Below are 21,896 nucleotides of genomic sequence, written 5' to 3'. Positions count from 1 at the left end.
TCAACTTCAGGCAACCCCGAACTAGGTTCTTTTTTGCATGTGAACAACAGGAAAAGAAAGATGTTTCTCATAACAAAAATGATCAGGTACTTAGTTAATGTTGCAGTAATCATTTCAGTAAAGAATTATCTTTATCACTTGAGCAGTGGAATGATTTTGAGTATCTTGATAGAGGTTACTAGTTCTTTTAAAACACTGTTGGTCATGTCTGATTTGATTCTAGGTACTTGCTCGGGAATCTAATTCCCAATTATATAACATTGTTCCTTTAGGACAAAGTTTAGGAAAGTATACTTTGTCTAATGGCACAGTTTCAAAAAATAGATCTTAGAGGTAGGGAAAAAATACTGCTATCACCCAGTTGCTGAATATATAAGGTACTGGAGGGAGTACAAAGAGGGCAGCAAGTACCTACATTGTTGTGATGGGAAGAGGGAACACCAGTGGATGGGTGCTCCTTATAGTATGGCACTGGCATCCTGTACCTCATATGTCCCTGTCATCCACGGTCTTAGTCTCTGCTGTCACTCAGCTCTGTTCCTGTCTTAAACACCAACATGCTATGCTTTTAACTCTTTTGCCACCTGCCTTTGCTCTGCTTGTTCTTCCAGTGACAAATGCATGAGCCACTTTTCAGGAGGTGAAATTATTAAAACTCTTGAGGATGTGACCTATTTCACATTGAGAAATAAGTTGCCCTGAATGGAGTAACCATTTTTCCTGTAAGTTTGCAAAAGAGGCAGCAGTTGTGACACTGTGGAAGGAGATAGAAAAATTCCTTGCCATGAGGGAATGTCTAAATTTGTCCTGCGGGGAGGATGACTACAGGCAGAAATAGTGAGGTGAGGCAGGAACATAAGAGGGGTTTTCTTGATTTAGTTTGAATGTATCTAAGTGACAAAAAGGAGCATCTGAAGAACTTGGATTCTTTCATTAGCACCTCCTTTTGGTCCATTGGCCTATTCAACAAATCTATAAATCCTTCAAGTATCACACTAACTTTCAGCTCAGTGTGCTGCGGGCTCTAGACCAAAGATTCCTCCTGTAAGATTACAGAGGTTATTCCCTTTGTAAAGTAACATGATTCTCTTTCTCTTTCATTTTCAGGGAAGCAGAGACTTTCAAGGAACAAGGAAATGCATACTATGCCAAGAAAGATTACAATGAAGCTTATAATTATTATACAAAAGCCATAGGTGAGAAAGAACTGATACTTACGCTAGAAAACATTTACTTGCCAAATATTATTAAAAGTAGCTGCCAAGTCCTGGTGGCTCACGCCTGTAATCCCAGCACTTTGGGAGGCCAAAGCAGGAGGATCACTTTAGATCAGGGGTTTCAGACCACTCTGGCCAACATGACGAAACCCCGTCTCTACTGAAAATACAAAAATTAGCTGGGCCTGGTGGCGGGCACCTGTAATCCCAGCTACTTGGGAGGCTGAGGCAGGAGAATTGCCTGAACTCGGGAGGTAGAGGTTGCAATGAGCCAAGATTGTGCCACTGCACTCCAACCTGGGCAACAAAGCAAGACTTCATCTCAAAAAGATAAAAAAAATAGGCCAGGCTCAGTGGCTCATGCCTGTAATCCCAGCACTTTGGGAGGCCAAAGCAGGCGGATCACTTTAGATCAGGGGTTTCAGACCACTCTGGCCAACATGACGAAACCCTGTCTCTACTAAAAATACAAAAATTAGCTGGGCCTGGTGGCGGGCACCTGTAATCCCAGCTACTTGGGAGGCTGAGGCAGGAGAATTGCCTGAACTCGGGAGGTAGAAGTTGCAGTGAGCCAAGATTGTGCCACTGCACTCCAACCTGGGCAACAAAGCAAGACTTCATCTCAAAAAGATAAAAAAAATAGGCCAGGCTCAGTGGCTCACGCCTATAATCCCAGCACTTTGGAAGGCCAAGGCAGGCAGATCACCTAAAGTCAGGAGTTTGAGACCGGCCTGGCTAACATGGTGAAACCCTGTCTCTACAAAATACAAAAATTTGCTGGGTGTGGTGGTGCGTGCCTGTAATCCCAGCTACTAGGGAGGCTGAGGCAGGAGAATCGCTTGAACCCAGGAGGTGGAGGTTGCAGTGAGCTGAGATCCTGCCGTTGCACTCCAGCCTGGGGGACGACCAAAGAACTCCATCTCAAAAATTAAATTAAAAAAAATTGAGAAAAGTAGCTTCTCTCTGAGAAGTAGCCTTTTGCCCAATGGGTTGATAACTGTTACTGTATGAACTCCTTCAGGCTTAATGATCTCATGAAGGCCAGGCGTGGTGACTCATGCCTGTAATCCCAGCATTTTGGGAGGCCGAGGCGGGCGGATCACCTGAGGTCAGGAGTTCTTCTCCCCTAATTTGCTTACCCCAACTCAACATGCACATTTCATTTCAGCCTGGCCTGTTAACATGGTGAAACCCTGTCTCTAAAGATACAAAAATTAGCCAGGTGTGGTGGGCGCTTGTAATCCCAGCTACTCGGGAGGCTGAGGCAGGAGAATTGCTTGAACCTGGGAGGCAGAGGTTGTAGTGAGCCAAGATCACGTCGCTGCACTCCAGCCTGGGCAACAAGCGCGAATCTCCGTCTCAAAAAAAAAAACAAACTCATGAATGATAACTTTTTTCTTTTTCTTTTCTTTTTTTTTAACTCTTTAAATTTTTTAAAATAGAGACAGGGTCTTACCATGTTGCCCCGGCTGGTCTCAAACTCCTGGGCTCAAGCGATCCTCCTACCTTGGCCTCCCAAAGTGCTAGAATTACAGGGATGTGCCACCATCCCCAGCTGTGATAACTTCTTCTAACTGGGGTGGGTAGTTTTTCTTTTGATAAATTAAAGGCAATTCCAGAAATACTGAATGTTATGGCAAAACCCACCTAAATACATTTCAGTCATTGTCAATTCATTTACTACCTTAGAAAATGGCCTTTGTACATAAAAGAAGTCTTAGTTATCTCCATGCTTAATTTGCCAGCATACTTTAATCCCGTGTCAGCATTCTTCTCACCTAATTTGCTTACCCCAGCTCAACATGCACATTTCATTTTAATGTCTCATTATACAAAACAGTTCATTAAGATTAATAAGCTGCCTCTCTCCTCAAAAGATAATCACTACACTTCAAAGCCGTACCTTGTTTTGTTTTAAAACTGATTGTATCCTTGCTGCTGTCCATTTGCACAAGCAGTCAGAAATTTGGATGCAGCCTATTTATTTATTGTTGAGACAGTGTCACTGTCACCCAGGCTGGAGTGTAGTGGCACAATCTTGGCTTATTGCAACCTTCACCTCCTAGTTTCAAGCGATTTTCATGCCTTAGCCACCTGAGTAGCTGGGATTGCAGGTGTGTGCCACCATGCTTGGCTAATTTATTTGTATTTTAGCAGAGACAGCGTTTTGCCATGTTGGCCAGGCTGGTCTCAAAACTCCTGGCCCCAAGTGATCTGCCCACCTCGGCCTCCCAAAGTGCTGAGATTATAGGTGTGAGCCACTGTGCTGGCTGTGGCATTCTAAAGAGAGTGTGTCAGGGCTGGGTGCAATAGCTCACTCCTGTAATCCCAACGCTTTTGGAGGCTGAGGCAGATGGATCACTTGAGGCCAGGAGTTCAAGACCAGCCTGGCCAACGCGGCAAAACCCCATCTCAACAAAAAATACAAAAATTAGCTGGATGTGGTGGCGTGTGCCTGTGGTCCCAGCCACTTAGGAGGCTGAGGTAGGAAGATGGTTTGAGCCCAGGAGGCGGAGGATGCAGTGAGCAGAGATCATACCACTGCAGTCCAGCGTGGGCAACAGAGCCAGACTGTGCCTCAAATAAATAAATAAAAATACAGAAATTAGCCAGGCGTGGTGGCACATGCCTGTAATCCTAGCTGCTTGGCTGCTTGGGAGGCTAAGGCACAAGAATCACTTGAACCCAGGAGGCAGAGGTTACAGTGAGCCGAGATAGCACCACAGCACTGTAGCCTGTGCAACAGAGTGAGACCCTGTCTCCATGAAGAAAAAAGAGTTTATGAGCGTTACAGATAGATTCCCTTAACATTGTTTGGAGGGAGATGCCCTCTAAGTTTTTGTTTATTTGTTTGTTTGTTTTTTGAGACAGGGTCTTCCTCTGTCGCCCAGGCTGGAGTGCAGTGATGTGCTCTTGGGTCACTGCAACCTCCACTTCCCAGATTCAAGCAATTCTTATGCTTCAGCCTCCTGAGTAGCTGGAATTACAGGGGCCCACCACCACGCCCAGCTATTTTTTTTTTTTTTTTGTATTTTAGTAGAGATGGGGTTGTGCCATGTTGACTAGGCTGGTCTTGAACTCCTGACCTCAAGTGGTCTCCCCTCTTGGCCTCCCAAAGTACTGGGATTATGGGCATGAGCCACTGCGCCCAGCCCCCTCTAAGTTTTCAAAGCAGGGACCTGTTCTAAACTTTGTTTTACGTTCTTCTGCCTTTCCTATAGATATGTGTCCTAAAAATGCTAGCTATTATGGTAATCGAGCAGCCACCTTGATGATGCTTGGAAGGTTCCGGGAAGCTCTTGGAGATGCACAACAGTCAGTGAGGTTGGATGACAGTTTTGTCCGGGTATGTATGTAATGGGGCTGTTTGGGGAAGGCTGGGTTGCTACAGTTGAGTTTCTCTAGCCCCGTATTTCTCAACCTTGACACTACTGACATTTGGGACCAGATTATTCTTTGTTGTGGGGGACTTTACTGTGCACTGTGGGTTGTTTAGCAGCATCTCTGACTTTTAATCACTGAGTATGAGTAGCACCCCCTCTGCCCAGTTGTAACAACCAAAAATGTCTCTTAACATTGCTAAATGTCCCCTGGAGGGCACATTGCCCAGGTTGAGAACTACTGCTGTAGTCATTTTCATTTTGTGTTAGTTTTGTTCGTTTGTTTGTTTTTGTTTTTGAGATGGAGTCTAGCTCTGTCGCCCAGGCTGGAGTGCAGTGGCGCGATCTCGGCTTCAGGCAATTCTCCTGCCTCAGCCTCCAGAGTAGCTGGGACCACAGGCATATGCCACCACACCCGGCTAATTTTTGTATTTTTAGTAAGAGACGGAGTTTTGTCATGTTGGCCAGGCTAGTCTCAAACTCCTGACCCCAAGTGAGTGATCTGCCCGCCTCAGCTTCCCAAAGTGCTGGGATTACAGGTGTGAGTCACCGCGCCTGGCCTCTGTGTTGGTTTTGTGTGGGTGTCTGTTGCTGCTGTTGATTTCTTTCCACTTGGCCAATCATGCTTCTTTTCTTCCCTCTTGGTGTTCTTTTAGGGACATCTACGAGAGGGCAAGTGCCACCTCTCTCTGGGGAATGCCATGGCAGCATGTCGCAGCTTCCAGAGAGCCCTAGAACTGGATCATAAAAATGCTCAGGCACAACAAGAGGTACGGGTCTGATCCTGTTTCTGTCAAAAGAGGCAGTATGGTATATTTGGGAGGAGTGGCTACTTGAAAGTCGGAACTGAGGTCTAGTCTCACTTCTGCCATCAGCACACCTGGGTGACTTTAGGCGAGTTTCATAGCCTCTCTAAGCCTCAGCTTCCTAATCTGTAAAATGAGTTTTGAATATGATTGACAGCTTTTAAAAATCTGTGAAAATTGAAGTGTTTCTGAGATAGCTGGGGAATAGGCAAATGCTTCCAGGGACTGATTTGAGTGAGGTTAAAGAATTTAAGAGTTTGGGACTTAGTGAGACCCTGTCTCCACAAAAAAATTTTTTACATTAGCCAGGCCTGGTGCCATGCACCTACCTGTGCTCCCAGCCACTCAGGAGGCTCAGGTGGGAGGATTGCTTGTGCTCAGGAGGTTGAGGCTGAGCCGTGATCGCACCACTGCACTATAGCCCGGGCAACAGAGCAAGAACCTGTCTCAAAAAAATAAAAAAGAATTTGAGTAAATTCAAGCCTTGATTAAATTGGTAGCAGCTAAAACATGTTTTAGTTCCATCTCCATATATAGTATGTGTCGCTTAATGACAGGCATACATTTTGTTAGGTGATTTTGTCATTGTGCAGAATCATAAAGTATACTTACACAAACCTGGGTGGCATAGCCTGCTACACACCTAGGCTATATGGCAGTGGCTTCTGGACTAAAACCTGTATAGCGTGTTACTGTCCTGAATATTGTAGGCAGCTATAACACAGTGGTATTTGTGTATCTAAACAGAAAAGGTACAGTAAAAATACGGTATTACAATTTTACAGGAGCACTGCCATATATACAGTTCATTGTTGACCAGAGTGTATGACTGTATATACAGTTTACCCTAGATGCATTTCAGTGAGAATCTCAAAACATATGCTCAATCCCTGGCAATGCATTGCCTTTATTTCATGTATATCAAGCATAACACTTGTGTTCCTGACTTGAAGTTCAAACTGAGGGTGAAGATTGGGTCTAGCCCTTCTGTTAAGAAGTCTTGACTGTATCTTCATCAATTTGATTTGTGAAATGTCTGTGGTTCTGATTTTCTTGAAAGAAAATCTCCTAGGGACTTCTATGAGAGGTCGAGTACCACCTCTCTCTAGGGAATGCCATGGCAGCCTGTCGCAGTTGCCAGAGAGCCCTAGAACTGGATCATAAAAATGGCCATTCACAACAGGAGGTATGCATTCGACCCTATCTCTATCAAAAGAGGCAGTGTGGTATATTTACTGAATTCAAATTCATCAAGGCCTTGTTAATTTTTTTGTGGTTGTTTAATCTACAGCTTCATTAAAACTTTCCTATGTCTGATTTTCCGGTGCAGTTCAAGAATGCTAATGCAGTCATGGAATATGAGAAAATAGCAGAAACAGATTTTGAGAAGCGAGATTTTCGGAAGGTACAGTACAACCATGAGATAATCTCATCTGCTCTTTGTCGCAAAATTCCCATTCGTGTGTGTGTGTGATAATTAAGAGGAGTAGTATGGCACAAAAGCTCTAGAATAGTAAATTATCACTTAAATTAGGCTTCTGACTTTTCCTCTTAAAAATGTTTTGTGCTAAGGTACTTATTTTCTTAATTATATTTGGCCCTATGATAAAAGGTAAAATGAGTGTGCCACTTGAGTTTGTTTCTATTGTTGATGTAAAGCACTGGTCTAATAGTGTACTTCTTAATAAAGGGAAAGCCCGCTGGAATTAAATATTAGGTTTGGATAATCTTTTTTTTTTTTTTTTTTTTTTTTTTGAGGCCTAGTCTCACTCTGTCACCCAGGCTGGAGCACAGTGGCTAACTGCAACCTCCGCCTCCCGGGTTCAAACGATTATCCTGCCTCAGCCACCCTGGGATTACAGGCGCATGCCATCACACCTGGCTAAGTTTTGTAGTTTTGTTTTTTGTTTTTGTTTTTTGTTGTTGTTGTTTGTTTTTTGAGATGGAGTTTCACTCTGTCACCCAGGCTGGAGTACAGTGGCATAATCTCGGCTCACTGCAACCTCTGCCTCCCGGGTTCAAGCGATTCTCCTGCCTCAACCTCCTGAGTAGCTGGGATTATAGGCATGCGCCACCACGCCCAGCTAATTTTTGTATTTTTAGTAGAGATGGGGTTTCACCATGTTGGTCAGGCTGGTCTCAAACTCCTGACCTCCTGATCTGCCCGCCTCAGCCTCCCAAAGTGCTGGGATTACAGGCGTGAGCCACCGCGCCAGGCCTTTTTTTTTTTTGAGAGAGAGTTTGGCTCTTGTTGCCCAGGCTGGAGTGCAGTGGCGTGATCTCGGCTCACTGCAACCTCCGCCTCCCAGGTTCAAACAATTGTCCTGCCTCAGCCTCCCGAGTAGCTGGGATTACAGGCATGTGCTGCCACGCATGGCTAATTTTGTTTTTTTTTTTTTTAGTAGAGACGGGGTTTCTGCATGTTGGTCAGGCTGGTCTCGTACTCCCGACCTCAGGTGATCTGCCCGCCTTGGCCTCCCAAAGTGCTGGGATTACAGGCGTGAGCCACCTCCCCGGCCAAAAGTTCTAGATATCTTTCTAGACCTCGCAGTTATTATGCTTTATCTGTGTAACTCCTTTCTTCTTTAGATGGTGCTTGGAAATAGTTTTCACTTGAGTTTCAAAAGGGGAGGTAGATAACCCCCAAAAAGGTTAAAAACCACTGATCAGGAGAGATTTTCTGGATCACTTAAGTTTGTGACTACTATCCAAGGAACAGAGTTGTCACTTCATATGTGGGAATTTGCTCAGTACTTTTTGTAGCATGTGCTCAGTAAATTTTTTTGTTTTGTTTTTGTTTTGTTTTGTTTTGTTTTGAGGCAGAGTCTTGGTCTGTTGCCCAGGCTGGAGTGCAGTGGCGGGATCTCGGCTCACTGCAAGCTCCGCCTCCTGGGTTCATGCCATTCTCCTGCCTCAGCCTCCTGAGTAGCTGGGACTACAGGCGGCCACCACCACGCCCAGCTAATTTTTTGTGTTTTTAGTAGAGACAGGGTTTCACCGTGTTAGCCAGGATGGTCTTGATCTCCTGACCTTGTGATCCTCCCGCCTTGGCCTCCCAAAGTGCTGGGATTACAGGCGTGAGCCACCACGCCTGGCCTCAGTAAATGTTTTGATAAGAGGATACATTAAGAATCATTCACATTGACTGATGGTCTTTTATTTGGTAATGTATATATCTGATTAGCTTATGCAGAGTCCCGGCAGTAACTTATTAGCATCCCTCTTCTGTCCATTGGTTTTAATAACCACAGTTGTCTTTGTAATGTAATTCATAAGTTTGTTTTGTTTGGCATGTGTGTGTTTGGAAAGCAATTCTGCCTACTGTCAGTTTTCTGAGGTTTACATAGGCAAAAGCTTTGTCTTGAGAGGTGGTCTTTTGGGTTTCTTTTCTCTCTTGCCTACTCCAGAGCCAGAATCCTGAGTTTGTGACAGAATCCTCTGTTTGTGACATCCCAGCCCCCCCACTGTAGCTCACGGTGATGTCACAAATGAAGAATTATGATCCTGGCAGGGGAAACAGATGAACTTGGAAGAAACAAAAGATCTTCTTTGCCTGCAGCTGTCCCTAGTCATGGGGAGGTTGGGGGGTGGGAAGTGAAGCACTGACGATCCCCATGATTAGCAGAACCAGCTCTGCATAAAACGGGGTCCTTGTGAAGGCAACAGGGTGTGGCTGCTGACATTTTGACTGACTTTTTCCTGCCCCCTCATTCCTTTTCCATCTGGGGGGGCAGGACAGTTAGCACAACTCTACCTACATAATGCTTAAGTTTTCATATTGTCCTTAGAACTTTCAGGACATGCCGAGTGCGGTGGCTCATGGCTGTAATCCCAGCACTTTGGGAGGCCGAGGTGGGCGGATCACCTGAGGTCGGGAGTTAGAGACCAGCCTGACCAACATGGAGAAACCCTGTCTTTACTAAAAATACAAAAAATTAGCCAGGCCTGGTGGCGCATGTCTGTAATCCCAGCTACTCAGAGGGCAAAGGCAGGAGAATTGCTTGAACCCGGGAGGCAGAGGTTGCAGTGAGCCAAGATCATGCCATTGCACTGCAGCCTGGGCAACAAGAACGAAACTCCATCTCAAAAAAAACAAAAAACAAAAAAACAGAAAACTTTCAGGACAGTAAACCTGTGCCACTGAAGGAGAGGCATTCCTGTCACTGCTGTGTGACACTGCAGAAAGTCTTCTCAGTGAAACAGCTGGTAATGTGGTAGTGTTTACTGACTTGCTCATATTTTAAATTTCAGTTTTGGAATAGGTGCTATTCATGGTTCAAAAACTAGAAAGTGTTGCCAGATGCAGTGGCTTATGCTTGTAATCCCAGCACTTTGGGAGGCCAAGGCAGGAGGATCACTTGAGGCGAGGAGTTCGAGACCAACCTGGGCAACTTATTGAGACCCTGTCTCTACAGATAATTTAAAATTTTAGCTGAGTGTGGTGACGTGTGCCTGCAGTCCCAACTACTCATGAGGCTGAGGCAGGAGAATCACTGGAGTCTGGGAAGTCGAGGCTGCAGTGAGCCATGATTGTGCCACTGATACTCCAGCCTGAACAGCAGAGCAAGACCCCATCTCAAAAACAAAACAAACAAAAGTTAGAAAGTATGAAAAATATTCAGTGATGAGTGTCCCCTCAAACTTGTCCTCTCTCCGCCCAGTTCTCACTCCCCTAAGCTAACCACTGTTCTTATGTCTTCTATTTTCTTCCTTAGTTTTGTTGTACTTATATAAAATAAAGATCCTTGATTTTCTCCCTTTATTTAGCGTGAAAGGTAGTATGCTTTATGGCAGGTCTGCACCTTTAAAAAAAAATCACTGAGTAGCTCTTGGAAGTCTTTCCATATTAGTACATGAAGAGCTTCTTCATTCTATTTTAGAACTATATAGTATTCCATTATATGAATGTCCATGTTAACTAACCAGTCTCCTGTGGATGGAATTTGAATTTTTCTGCTTGTAAGTTTTCAGAGTTTATCTCTTCCTGACCCCCATGGCCAAATTCTTAGAGGGAATAGGTGTCCCTTAACTCCAGATTTGTCCTTCGGTTCATTTATTCTCGGCGTGAATGTGATTCAGCAAGGCTCTCCCAGGAATAAATAGCAGCTAAACCAAAACTGAAAGCTCAGAGGACAAACTAGTAAAAAGAGAAAAACAGAATATATGGAGATGCTTTATGAGGCTGAAAGAGTAAATTAATCCCCACCTTTTTGTGTGTGTGATTGCTCCTTGGCTTGTGGTTTGTATAGTGGCATGTTGGGAATAGTAATCTGATGTAGCCTATTTAGAGCCATTTAAAATAACTATTTTAAGGCTGGGTGTGGTGGCTCACGCCTGTAATCCTAGCACTTCGGGAGGCTGAGGAGGACGGATCACGAGGATCAAGACCATCATGGCTAACATGGTGAAACCCTGTGTTTACTAAAAATACAAAAAAAAATTAGCTTGGGCGTGGTGGCGGGCGCCTGTAGTCCCAGCTACTCGGGAGGCTGAGGCAGGAGAATGGCGTGAACCCAGGAGGCAGAGGTGGCAGTGAGCCAAGATCCTGCCACTGCACTCCAGCCTGGGTGACAGAGTGAGACTCCATCTCAAAAAAAAAAAAAAAAGTGATAATATTGCCTATTTCATAAAATTCTTGTGAGGATTAAATGGGTTCATATATGAAAGTACCCAGTAAATGTTTACTGTCCTCATTATCATCTGGAGCCTTTGCTGTCCTCATTTCAGTGCTTTTATTTAATGAATTAGGTATGTTTTTAAACTTTGATATTACTTAGAAGTGGACCCAAAGACCTCATTGAGTTTTGAGTCTGTTACCTGTGACTAAACTAAAGTGAAGATGTTTCTGGAGTCCCTGATGAAGAGCCTTATTTGTTTTCTTCTTCCCTACAGGTTGTTTTCTGCATGGACCGTGCCCTAGAATTTGCCCCTGCCTGCCATCGCTTCAAAATCCTCAAGGCAGAATGTTTAGCAATGCTGGGTCGTTATCCAGAAGCACAGTCTGTGGCTAGGTATGCAGTCAGGCTAGCTGGACATTAAAATGCCAGATACCATTGGACTGATGGTGTCCGGCAGCTTCACCACAGGATATGGTCCCCAGAGTAGGCCAGCTAGGGCTGATCAGACCCTCTTGGGACTTAAAGTCAAAGATTAGACCAGCTTTGAAAACCCGTAGGGTATACAGGAGTATAGTAGTATAGCAGGTACTTGAGCTATATATGAAAGAACAGATTGTGTTTTTGTGGTTTTGTTTGTTTGTTTAAGGTAGTCCTTTTCCTTCTACTCCACTGGTTGGCACACTTTCTGCAAAGGGCCAGATTTTAGCCTTTGCAGGCCACAGGGTCTCTGTTGCAACTAACTCAACTCTGCCATTGCAGTGCAAAGGTTGCCCTAGATAATAGATGAACCAATGGGTGTGGCTGTTTGAATAGTGTTTTATTTACAAAAACCAGTGGCAGAAAGGATTTGGCCCTGTGGGCTGTAGTTTGCCAAACCCTGTTCTAGTTTAATAAGGATTGTAAGACACAAGATGTGTATTAAAGATAATTATAGGTGGTTTATTTGGGGAAAGTTTGGGAACAGTTCTTGGGAATCTGTCTACCTTTGGATATTTTGAATGCTAGACACATGGTCAAGGAGGAAAACTGGCCACAAATGGTAGTAATGGTGGGGACATTCTAAAGCACAGCTCAATGTGCCCTTTTCTGACTATTGCAGTGACATTCTACGAATGGATTCCACCAATGCAGATGCTCTGTATGTACGAGGTCTTTGCCTTTATTACGAAGATTGTATTGAGAAGGCAGTTCAGTTTTTCGTACAGGCTCTCAGGATGGCTCCTGACCACGAGAAGGCCTGCATTGCCTGCAGAGTAAGTTCTAGTCACCAGACCTAACTGGGAAAGAGCTTCCTTTTGGGACCTTTAAGATGGCTAGAGTGGAAGGTTTTAGAATCACAAGGAATGTGATAGCTTTTCCTCCTGCTTTGCAAGGATGCTTGGTCTTTATTAGAAATGGTTTCAGGACTACTTGTATTTACCTAAAGGTAGATGTGATCATATAGGGTCGGATGCCTTTAATATCTAAGAGGGTTTTTTTGTTTTGTTTTTCCCCTCAGTGAAGATAGATAGTAATACTTGTCCTGAGAAGTGAAGGCAGACCCAGTAACATAGGTCTCATTGGTATTTTTGGTAACTCTTTTCCTGTCCACTCTGTAGGAAGCTCAAATGAGCAACAGATAGCCCAGATTGGGGGTTGGCGGGGCTCTGTGATGCTGAACTGCTGGAAGCAAAGAACTTGAAAATAGAGTCTGGCCTCTCTGTGCAATGGTCTGAGGCTTTGTGGATATGAACCGATCCTCCCCTTGCTTTTTTCTGTAGAATGCCAAAGCACTCAAAGCAAAGAAAGAAGATGGGAATAAAGCATTTAAGGAAGGAAATTACAAACTAGCATATGAACTGTACACAGAAGCCCTGGGGATAGACCCCAACAATATAAAAACAAATGCTAAACTCTACTGTAATCGGGGTACGGTTAATTCCAAGGTAAGCTCTTGATCTAGATCTTGGGGCCTATAGAAATATTTTTAAGGGACATCAAAGGGTCTTGGGAAATCTGCCTAGTGAGGGTAAGCAAGATGAAAGAGGGAAAGTTGTTATGGTTAATAGTTTGTTAGGAACTCCCTTCCAAGAGGCAAGCTTTTGTCATCTCTATGGAATTTGAGGGCAGTTGGACAATTTGCAAGGATATTCTCACCTGTTCATTAAGGTCCCTTTCCTCCAGTAAGAGAATGGCTAGGGTCTGTGGGATAATCTTAAGCACCTACTGTTGCTTTTTTGTTGTTTTGCTTATGCAAGTGATCATTTATTTTTTAGGAGTGATTTGGAGGAAGAGTATGAGGCAAGCTTGTTTTTCTCCAGTGTAATTGATGGTCACCATGCATGGTTGAAAATGGCCTGAGTGCTTTTGTGGCCCTACCCAACATCAGAAACAAAAAGTAGACTCCTTGCCCTTGCAGAATTCTAGCAGTTAAAAATCAGAGTGATTTCTGATCCCTGCAGGTGACCTCTGGAAAAAAGGAGGGCAGGAACCAGCCTTACTATTTTCATGTTTTCATTGGGCACTAACATGGAATGGTAAAGGTAGTTTATCCTTGAAGACAGATGTGCCTGGCTTGTATCATATACAAGAGAAATCAATTTTGAAGTTGCTGTCCATAGCCCTGGTGACAAAGAACTAGAACTTAATATGACATTTAAGGGGCCAGCATGACTGATCCTCTTAGAGTTTTGAAGCCATGCTCACAGCTTCTGGGCTCCCTCAGTCACCAAAGGTGTGAAGTATGATTGCTCTCTCTCTCCTGAAGCTTAGGAAACTAGATGATGCAATAGAAGACTGCACAAATGCAGTGAAGCTTGATGACACTTACATAAAAGCCTACTTGAGAAGAGCTCAGTGGTAAGTGCCTCTGATGGGTAGGGGGAAGAGGGAGTTGCCGCTGGCCTCAGGGGAATTGCCTTGTGGATGACGAAGCAGACCCAGAGATGTTGTGAGGTCATTTGGTCCTTCCCCCTGCCTCTAGGTGGGATTGTTCCAGCCCTAGACTATCTTTATAGACCTCCAGCGGAGGAGATTGCACAAGCTCCCTCAGTCTCCCATGCCTGTGTCTAACGCCCCTCACGGTCAGTAAGTTTCCTCTGATGCCTGACCCAAATTCCTTTTGTTAAAAAGTTTAAATCCATTTCCTTTGGAGATTTTATTTTGTGTTGTACACTTATGCTCTACCCTGGCACAGTGCTTGACACATAGGTGCTCACTGAATAAATGTTTTGTTGAATGAATGTATGGTGCTTGGAAGAGAAAACAACTCTTGGAGACAGTTGAGAGTTGTACTTCATCCTGTTTGTTCTGGGCGAGGGAAGACAATCTTAGAGTTGGAAGAGATGTAATCCGGCTCAGCCTCCCAGGATAAAGGAACTTCCTTTTGAAACACCCTGGATGGCTACTCTCTGCTTGAGTGTTTTGAGTGGAGGGCACTCTGTGTCTGACAGGGTGATTATGAGCCAGGATGTGCCTACCTCTAATGCTCACATTTGCCCCAGAGTCAGGGTGCTCCCTGGCATGGTTGCTCCTCTTACTCTTAGACCCACCAGCTGGTTTTCTCCAGATAGGAACAGGGCTAGGAGAAATCTTTCTCAGAAATCCATCTCTTCTGATTTCAGATTATTCTCTAGGCGGAGAAAAACTTCCCGTCTTTAAAGTTCTTAGAGAAGATGTATTTATTGTATACTAATCCTCCAGCACCTGCTCCACTCCTTATTATAAAATGTCATATCCAAAGAACAGATGCTGTCACTGATGCCTGATGAGCCAGTAGTTTAAGCTTCCTTGTCTCATCAGTGGTACAGAATATCTCATGGACTACCTCCCACTTAGTTTTCTCAAAATTATCTCACTTAAAATAGGAAAACTGCTGCTGTGTGTGATGCTTTTTTTAAAAGTGAATTTCTAAGTTGATGACTAAGTCTGTCCAACAGAAACATACAGGGAATTATAACTTCTGTGAGACTGACTGTCAGTCATTCCATCTTTGCAAACCACTGGCACACAGAAGCAGAAGCTTTGGAAGACAAAAAAAGCACCCTTTGATTCAGCCAAAGACTGACTTTAACAGACGCAAAATGCTATATACATGAAGGTGTTTGCTGCAATTTTATCTATAATAGCAAAAAAAAAAAAAAAAAAAGGCGGGGGGAGAATCACCTACATGTCCAGTGGGAAGGGGGTGGCTAGATACTTGATACTGTATGAACTTAATGGAATGCTCTGTATATGGAATGCCAGGGGATGGGAAGAGAAGAGAAAAATCGCTTTGTTTTATTTTTTGGGATGGAGTCTCGCTATGTCGCTCGGGATGGAGTCTCGCTATGTCGCTCAGGCTGGAGTGCAGTAGCACCGTACTGGCTCACTGCAACCTCCACCTCCTGAGTTCAAGCGAATTTCCTGCTTCAGCCTCCGAAGTAGCTGAGATTACCGGCGCATGTCACCACACCCAGCAAATTTTTGTATTTTTATTGGAGATGGGGTTTCATCATGTTGGCCAGGCTGTTCTCAAACTCCTGATGACAAGTGATCTGCCTGTCTTGGCCTCCCAAAGTTCTGGAATTACCAGCAGGTGTGAGCCACCGCGCCCGGCCTTTTTTTTTTTTTTTTTTTTTTTTTTTTTTTTAAGCAAGCCCCCAACACCATAGAAAATTCTTGATTTGCTCGGAGGATAATTGGATGAAGGATTATTTTCTTCTTTGTTTATGTGCAAGAAATGAAAATAAGGAATTGCTTTGATCAGACAACTTCTTATCTTTGTGGTAGAAACAGAACTGCCCTTCTTGGAGTGGCTCTGCCTCTGAGATCACTACAGGGGAGACAGCATGCCCTGTTCAGCTGGCTGAATATTTGGCAACAATCTCCTGAAGCAGCTGGAATTGACAAGAAGTACTGGAGATTAGCTCGGGCCAAACCCTTACATCTGGCCTGACTACTGCTGCAGTCTGCCTCAACTTACCCCTAAAGCTGGGGAGATGCCACCCACCCACATCTTTGCTACACATGCCATCATGAGCTAGAGTTCACCCTTTCTCCTTAAAGCCCTATTTACTTTTCTACTTCAACTTTAAAACAAAATTAAAATGTGAGGATATCCCTGAATTTTAAAAAGCATGAAGTAAAAATGCAAATTAGTATAGTTTGTTTAATACATTACATATAGACCTAAAGAAAGTTCATCAGGGTTAATCATTTGTCACATCATTCTATACCCAGGGCTATCAGCTATCAATTTTCCTTTTTTTTTTTTTTTTAATTCAGGATCCAGCTCTGTCACCCAGGCTGGAGTGCAGTATCAAAGTATCATTTCTCTTACTTCAAATTATTACATTTTATTCTGTACATTGATTCTGAACTCCTAATATAATATTTATGTCCTGTATTTGCAGGCCATTGGTTTTTTTAAAGTCATAAATCAAAATGATGCCAGAAAATCAAAGATGCCCAAGATGTTGGGCTTCTCTTTTGCCAGCCACATTGGTAGCACTCTCCTGCCCTGGCCTCCAAGCTGGTGGGGATCTGTGATGTTTGTGAAAATGGGCTTATGCCAGGCGCAGTGGCTCACGCCTATAATCCCAGCACTTTGGGAGGCCGAGGCGGGCAGATCGGTTCAGGTCAGGAGATCGAGACCAGCCTGGCCAACATGGTGAAACCCCATCTCTACTAAAAATACAAAAAATTAGCCAGGTGTGGTGGCACATGCCTGTAATCCCAGCTACTCAGGAGGCTGAGGCAGGAGAATCACTTGAAACCTGGGAGGCGGAGGTTGCAGTGAGCAGAGATCGTGCCATTACACTCCAGCCTGGGCTACAGAGTGAGACTCTGTGTCAAAAAAAAAAAAGAAAGAAAATGGGCTTGTGTGGTAGCAGGTAAGAAATTGAATCTCTGTTGTACAGCAGCTAGCTGTACTGCATGATCACTTCCCATTCCCCAGCTGACAGTGGCTGTCTCTGGAACTCCTACCACAGTCTTCAATTGGTAGGCCAGCCCTGGTGCCAGTGATTTTATCTGGGCATGGAAAATGCCACTTGCTTCTGTGGAAGAGACACTTAAAAGATCTGGCAGTCGGCCGGGTGCGGTGGCTCACGCCTATAATCCCAACACTCTGGGAGGTCAAGGCAGGCGGATCACGAGGTCAGGAGATGGAGACCATCCTGGCTAACACGGTGAAACCCTGTCTCTACTAAAAAAAAAAATAAAAAATTAGCTGGGCGAGGTGGCGGGCGCCTGTAGTCCCAGCTACTCTGGAGGCTGAGGCAGGAGAATGGCGTGAACCCAGGAGGCGGAGCTTGCAGTGATCCGAGATCACACCACTGCACTGCAGTCTGGGCAACAGAGCGAGACTCCATCTCAAAAAAAAAAAAAAAAAAAAAAGATCTCGCAATCATCCTGTCAAGCTTGATTCCTCCGATCTTGGGCCAAGGGCCCCTCCTTTCTTTTGTGCTACTGAAATAGAAGCAAACCTGTGTTTAGAGTTCCCTTTTCTGTCTCATTTACCTGCATCTCTCATTGATTGGTCTTAGTGGAGGGATTTGCCAGCAGCTGCCACGTTGAACTTGATCCTTTTAGTGGCTCACTAATCCCACCTCTATTCTGGATTGTAGCTAGTCCTGCATGTTTATGGCACTATAGGTTTCAAAGCTCTTTCATACCCATTTATTCACTTGATAATTTTTCTCTTGTGTGTTTCAACCCAAAGTAATCAAGTAGATCCCTTCACATTGTCTTTTCTAAGGCAGTCCAGTACCTCTTAGGTGGCTGTGTGTCAGAAGGAACTTTTTCCTCTTGATTACTTTCTGCTCAAAGCTGAACATCACTTTGCTGGTTGGATGCAAGTGCCATGCGACCTCTCTTTTTATTTCCTTGAGGACTTGTTAGCTAATTTTCTCTCACTGCTAGATTAAGGGCTCCTGTTTCTGAAGCATCTTACCAGAAGTGTGTGTCTCTTGCTTGAGCCATGCCTCTTGCCCTAGAGTGATCCTGAGAACCACTGCTATTTATGTCTTAGTGCTGTATTGCCTTGTATTTCCTTCTCAGTTACATGGACACAGAACAGTATGAAGAAGCAGTACGAGACTATGAAAAAGTATACCAGACAGAGAAAACAAAAGGTAAGTTTAAAAGCATTTGTTTTTTAGGGAACTGTGTGGACTTCGTAGGCCATAAATCTGTACACAAGGTAGTTTGATTCAGGGATCAGGGATCTACCTAGAACTTATTTGATCACCAGCCAGAAAGAAGTGAACAAAGGCTGGGCGTGGTGGCTCACGCCTGTAATCCCCAGCACTTTGGGAGGCTGAGGCAGGCAGATCACCTGAGATCAGGAGTTGGAGACCAGACTGGCCAACATGGTGAAACCCCATCTCTACTGAAAATACAAAAAATTGTGGGTATGGTGGTATACGCCTGTAATCCCAGCCACTCAGGAGGCTGGGGCACGAGAATTCCTTGAACCCAGGAGGCGGAGGTTGCAGTGAGCTAAGATTGCGCGACTATACTCCAGCCTGGGTGACGGAGCGAGACTTCATCTCAAAAACAAAAACAAAAAAAAGAAAAAAAAAGTGAACAGATATCTTGGGTTGGGGCATGAGGCACCTATTTTCTGGTTCCAGATCCTCCCTGTCGTTTTCATTTCATTTTTTGTGTGGTGAGGCTAAAGTGAGGAACCTAAGTCTGGGTAGATTTTCTTTTTTCTTTTTCTTTTTTTTTTTTTTAAGATGGAGTCCTGCTCTGTCACCCAGGCTGGAGTGCAATGGCATGATCATAGCTCACTACAACCTTTGCCTCCCAGGTTCAAACAATTATCCTGCCTCAGCCTCCCGAATAACTGGGATTACAGGCACATGGTACCACGCCTGGCTAATTTTTTGTATTTTTAGTAGGGATGGGGTTTCACCATGTTGGACAGGCTAGTCCCGAACTCCTGACCTCGGGTGATCCATTCTGTCAAGCTTGATTCCTCCCATCTTGGGCCAAGGGCCCCTCCTTTCTTTCGTGCTACCGAAATAGAAGCAAACCTGTGTTTAGAGTTCCCTTTTCTGTCTCATTTACCTGCATCTCTCATTGATGCAGGCCTCCCAAAGTGCTGCGATTACAGGCATGAGTCACCGTGCCTGGCCGAGTAGATTTTTTTTCTAATCTCCAGAAGAAAGCACCGTAAAAGTCCCTGGCATGGTTAACAAGGCCTCTAACTCCCAGGCAGCTGGGCTGAGACCTGGTGAGGAAAAAACCAGAGTCAGATTTGTCCACTGATGCCAGATGTCTTCCTGTAGAACACAAACAGCTCCTAAAAAATGCGCAGCTGGAACTGAAGAAGAGTAAGAGGAAAGATTACTACAAGATTCTAGGAGTGGACAAGAATGCCTCTGAGGACGAGATCAAGAAAGCTTATCGGAAACGGGCCTTGATGCACCATCCAGGTAGAGTAGGTGCGGGGAGTGGGCTCAGTGGGAAGAACCCGCAGGGCAGGCCAACTGCCACACTCAGTCCAGAGGGGACCCCTTGGAGAGGTCCTTCAGCTGAGAATAAGGTGTTGCAGACTTGTGGACCCTCCAAATTTTGGGAAGTGCCAAATTCCAAAATTAGACAGAAAGTAGTTTTTCTCTTAAACTTTGTTTTCTTGAAACTTTGATTTCCACTGAGTTGTTCTTTTACTCCCCACTTTAGATCGGCATAGTGGAGCCAGTGCTGAGGTTCAGAAGGAGGAGGAGAAGAAGTTCAAGGAAGTTGGAGAGGCCTTTACTATCCTCTCTGATCCCAAGAAAAAGACTCGCTATGACAGTGGACAGGACCTAGATGAGGAGGGCATGAATATGGGTGGTGAGTTGGCTGGGGCAGCCTGGGATGAATTTGACAGCTGTAGAATGTTAGAATTTTTTCCAAAGATGCTCCAGAGGGAGAGTCTATTTGGGCCAAATCTGATCCCTGGTCCAAACAGTAATAGACATGGAGTCAAACAAATGCAGTCAAATGTGGCAGGTTCACAGTGTGCAGTGAGCTCTGAGGAGGCGAGCACTAGCAAGGGAAGGCTTGGAAGTGCAGAAAAGCATGGCCCCATGGGTCATGCCTGTAATCCCAGCACTTTGGGAGGCCAAGGCAAGCAGATCACTTGAGGTCAGGAGTTTGAGACCAGCCTGGCCAACATGGTGAAACCCTGTCTCTACTAAAAATACAAAAATTAGGCTGGGCGCGGTGGCTCATGCCTGTAATCTCACCACTTTGTGAGGTCAAAGCAGGTTGATCACCAGGTCAGGAGTTTGAGACCAGCCTGGCCAACATGGTGAAACCTCGTCTCTACTAAAATACAGAAATTAGCCAGGTGTGGTGGTGGGCGCCTGTAATCCCAGCTACTCGGGAGGCCGAGGCATGAGAATCGCTTGCACCCAGGAGGCGGAGGTTGCAGTGAGCCGAGATTGTCCCACTGTACTCCATCCTGGGCGACAGAGCAAGACTTTGTCTCAATTAAAAAAAATAATAAGAAGAAAGAAAAAAGAAAAATTAGCCAGGTGTGGTGGTGCACACCTGTAATCCCAGCTACTTGAACCCGGGAGGTGGAGGTTGCAGTGAGCCAAGATGGCGCTACTGCACTCCAGCCTGGGCAACAGAGTGAGACTCCATCCCTCCCCACTAAAAAAGCAAAGCATGGCCTCTTTGGGGATCTGCAGGGGGCTTGGTCTAGGGAAGATAAAGGGATAGGGTGCTAGAGGCAGGTGGTGGTGGAAGGCCGGCAAGTAGCTGGATCAGAGCTCACAGGCCATAAGGGCTGTATGTGGTAAGGAATATGAGCATTTTCCTATTATCTGGAAGTTCTTTTTTACCCACTGCAAAGTGTATGCTGACATTTATGTATGTCATACATTCCTATAAACACTCACAGATTTTAATTTCCCAAAAAGATTTAGCATGATATAAAGCACACCTATTGTCAATATTGTTGCTCACTGTGGGCTGTCAGAGATAAGAGGCCCTGACCTGTGAGCTGGGCGCGGTGGCTTACGCCTGTAATCCCAGCACTTTGGGAAGCCAAGGCGGGCAGATCACCTGAGCTCAGGAGTTCAAGACCACCCTGGGCAACATACAAAATACCAAAAAAATTGTACTCTCTACTAAAATACAAAAAAATTAGCTGAGCATGGTGGTGCATGCCTGTGGTCCAAGCTACTCAGGAGACTGAGGCACCAAAAACTCTTGAGCCCAGGAGGCAGAGGTTGCAGTGAGCTGAGATTGCGCCACTGTACTCCAGCTTGGGTTACAGAGTGCGACTCCATCTCAAAAATTAATTAATTAATTCAGTCAGTCTTCACTCTAAGTTGTCTGCCAAAAAATTTGCTGGGCATGGTGGCTCACGCCTGTAATCCCATCACTTTGGGAGAACAAGGTGGGCGGACCACAAGGTCAAGAGATTGAGACCATCCTGCCCAACATGGTGAAACCCCGTCTCTATGAAAAATACAAAAATTAGCTAGCCATGGTGGCGCACGCCTGTAGTCCCAGCTACTTGGGAGGCTGAGGCAGGAGAATCGCTTGAACTCGGGAGGCGGAGGTTGCAATGAGCTGAGATCGCACCACTGCACTCCAGCCTGGCGACAGAGCAAGACTTGTCTCAAAAAAAAAAAAAAAAAGAGGACCTGACCTGTGAATGGTGAACAGACCTACCATCTCTTCCACTAAGAAAATCTATTGGGATTTTGTTTTTTGTTTTGTTTTGTTTTTTGAGACGGAGTCTTGCTGTGTCACCCAGGCTGGAGTGCAGTGGCACCATCTCGACTCACTGCAACCTCCGCCTCCAGGGTTCAAGTGATTCTTCTGCCTCAGCCTCCCGAGTAGCTGGGACTACAGGTGTGCGCCACCACGCCCAGCTAATTTTTGTATTTTAAGTAGAGACGGGGTTTT

At 44.9% G+C, this 21,896-nt stretch overlaps 1 protein-coding gene across 8 annotated transcripts in view, besides 2 other annotated features; it reads left to right on the top strand.

Moving 5' to 3' along the window:
• Positions 1–21,896, top strand: part of DNAJC7 (DnaJ heat shock protein family (Hsp40) member C7) — a 41,005-nt gene that overhangs the window by 15,762 nt on the left and 3,347 nt on the right. For 5 of the 8 annotated variants that reach the window (NM_003315.4, XM_011525167.4, XM_011525169.4 and 2 more), the window contains 11 exons: positions 1,108–1,196; positions 4,439–4,563; positions 5,254–5,367; positions 6,734–6,808; positions 11,296–11,414; positions 12,121–12,274; positions 12,782–12,946; positions 13,768–13,859; positions 18,042–18,115; positions 19,277–19,423; positions 19,671–19,823. In NM_003315.4, the coding sequence (NP_003306.3) occupies positions 1,108–1,196; positions 4,439–4,563; positions 5,254–5,367; positions 6,734–6,808; positions 11,296–11,414; positions 12,121–12,274; positions 12,782–12,946; positions 13,768–13,859; positions 18,042–18,115; positions 19,277–19,423; positions 19,671–19,823 (1,307 nt within the window). Of the gene's footprint in view, positions 1–1,107; positions 1,197–4,438; positions 4,564–5,253; positions 5,368–6,733; positions 6,809–11,295; positions 11,415–12,120; positions 12,275–12,781; positions 12,947–13,767; positions 13,860–13,983; positions 14,084–15,770; positions 18,116–19,276; positions 19,424–19,670; positions 19,824–21,896 lie in introns of those variants that run through there. The other 3 variants (NR_029431.2, XR_007065438.1, XR_001752603.3) reach the window with 3 other exon arrangements.
• Positions 12,733–13,233: an enhancer, noted in NCBI's record as "H3K27ac hESC enhancer chr17:40140463-40140963 (GRCh37/hg19 assembly coordinates)". NCBI's record gives its function as "activates a minimal SCP1, AML or CMV promoter by ChIP-STARR-seq in primed H9 embryonic stem cells {active_cell/tissue: H9 hESC(primed)}" and the evidence as "EXISTENCE:reporter gene assay evidence [ECO:0000049][PMID:30033119]".
• Positions 13,234–13,734: an enhancer, noted in NCBI's record as "H3K27ac hESC enhancer chr17:40139962-40140462 (GRCh37/hg19 assembly coordinates)". NCBI's record gives its function as "activates a minimal SCP1, AML or CMV promoter by ChIP-STARR-seq in naive H9 embryonic stem cells {active_cell/tissue: H9 hESC(naive)}" and the evidence as "EXISTENCE:reporter gene assay evidence [ECO:0000049][PMID:30033119]".

This window comes from Homo sapiens, chromosome 17 (assembly GCF_000001405.40).
Source record: "Homo sapiens chromosome 17, GRCh38.p14 Primary Assembly".
Taxonomy (NCBI): domain Eukaryota; kingdom Metazoa; phylum Chordata; class Mammalia; order Primates; family Hominidae; genus Homo; species Homo sapiens.
The sequence above is the reverse complement of the archived record's forward strand: the minus strand, read 5'-3'. Positions and strand labels throughout refer to the sequence as shown.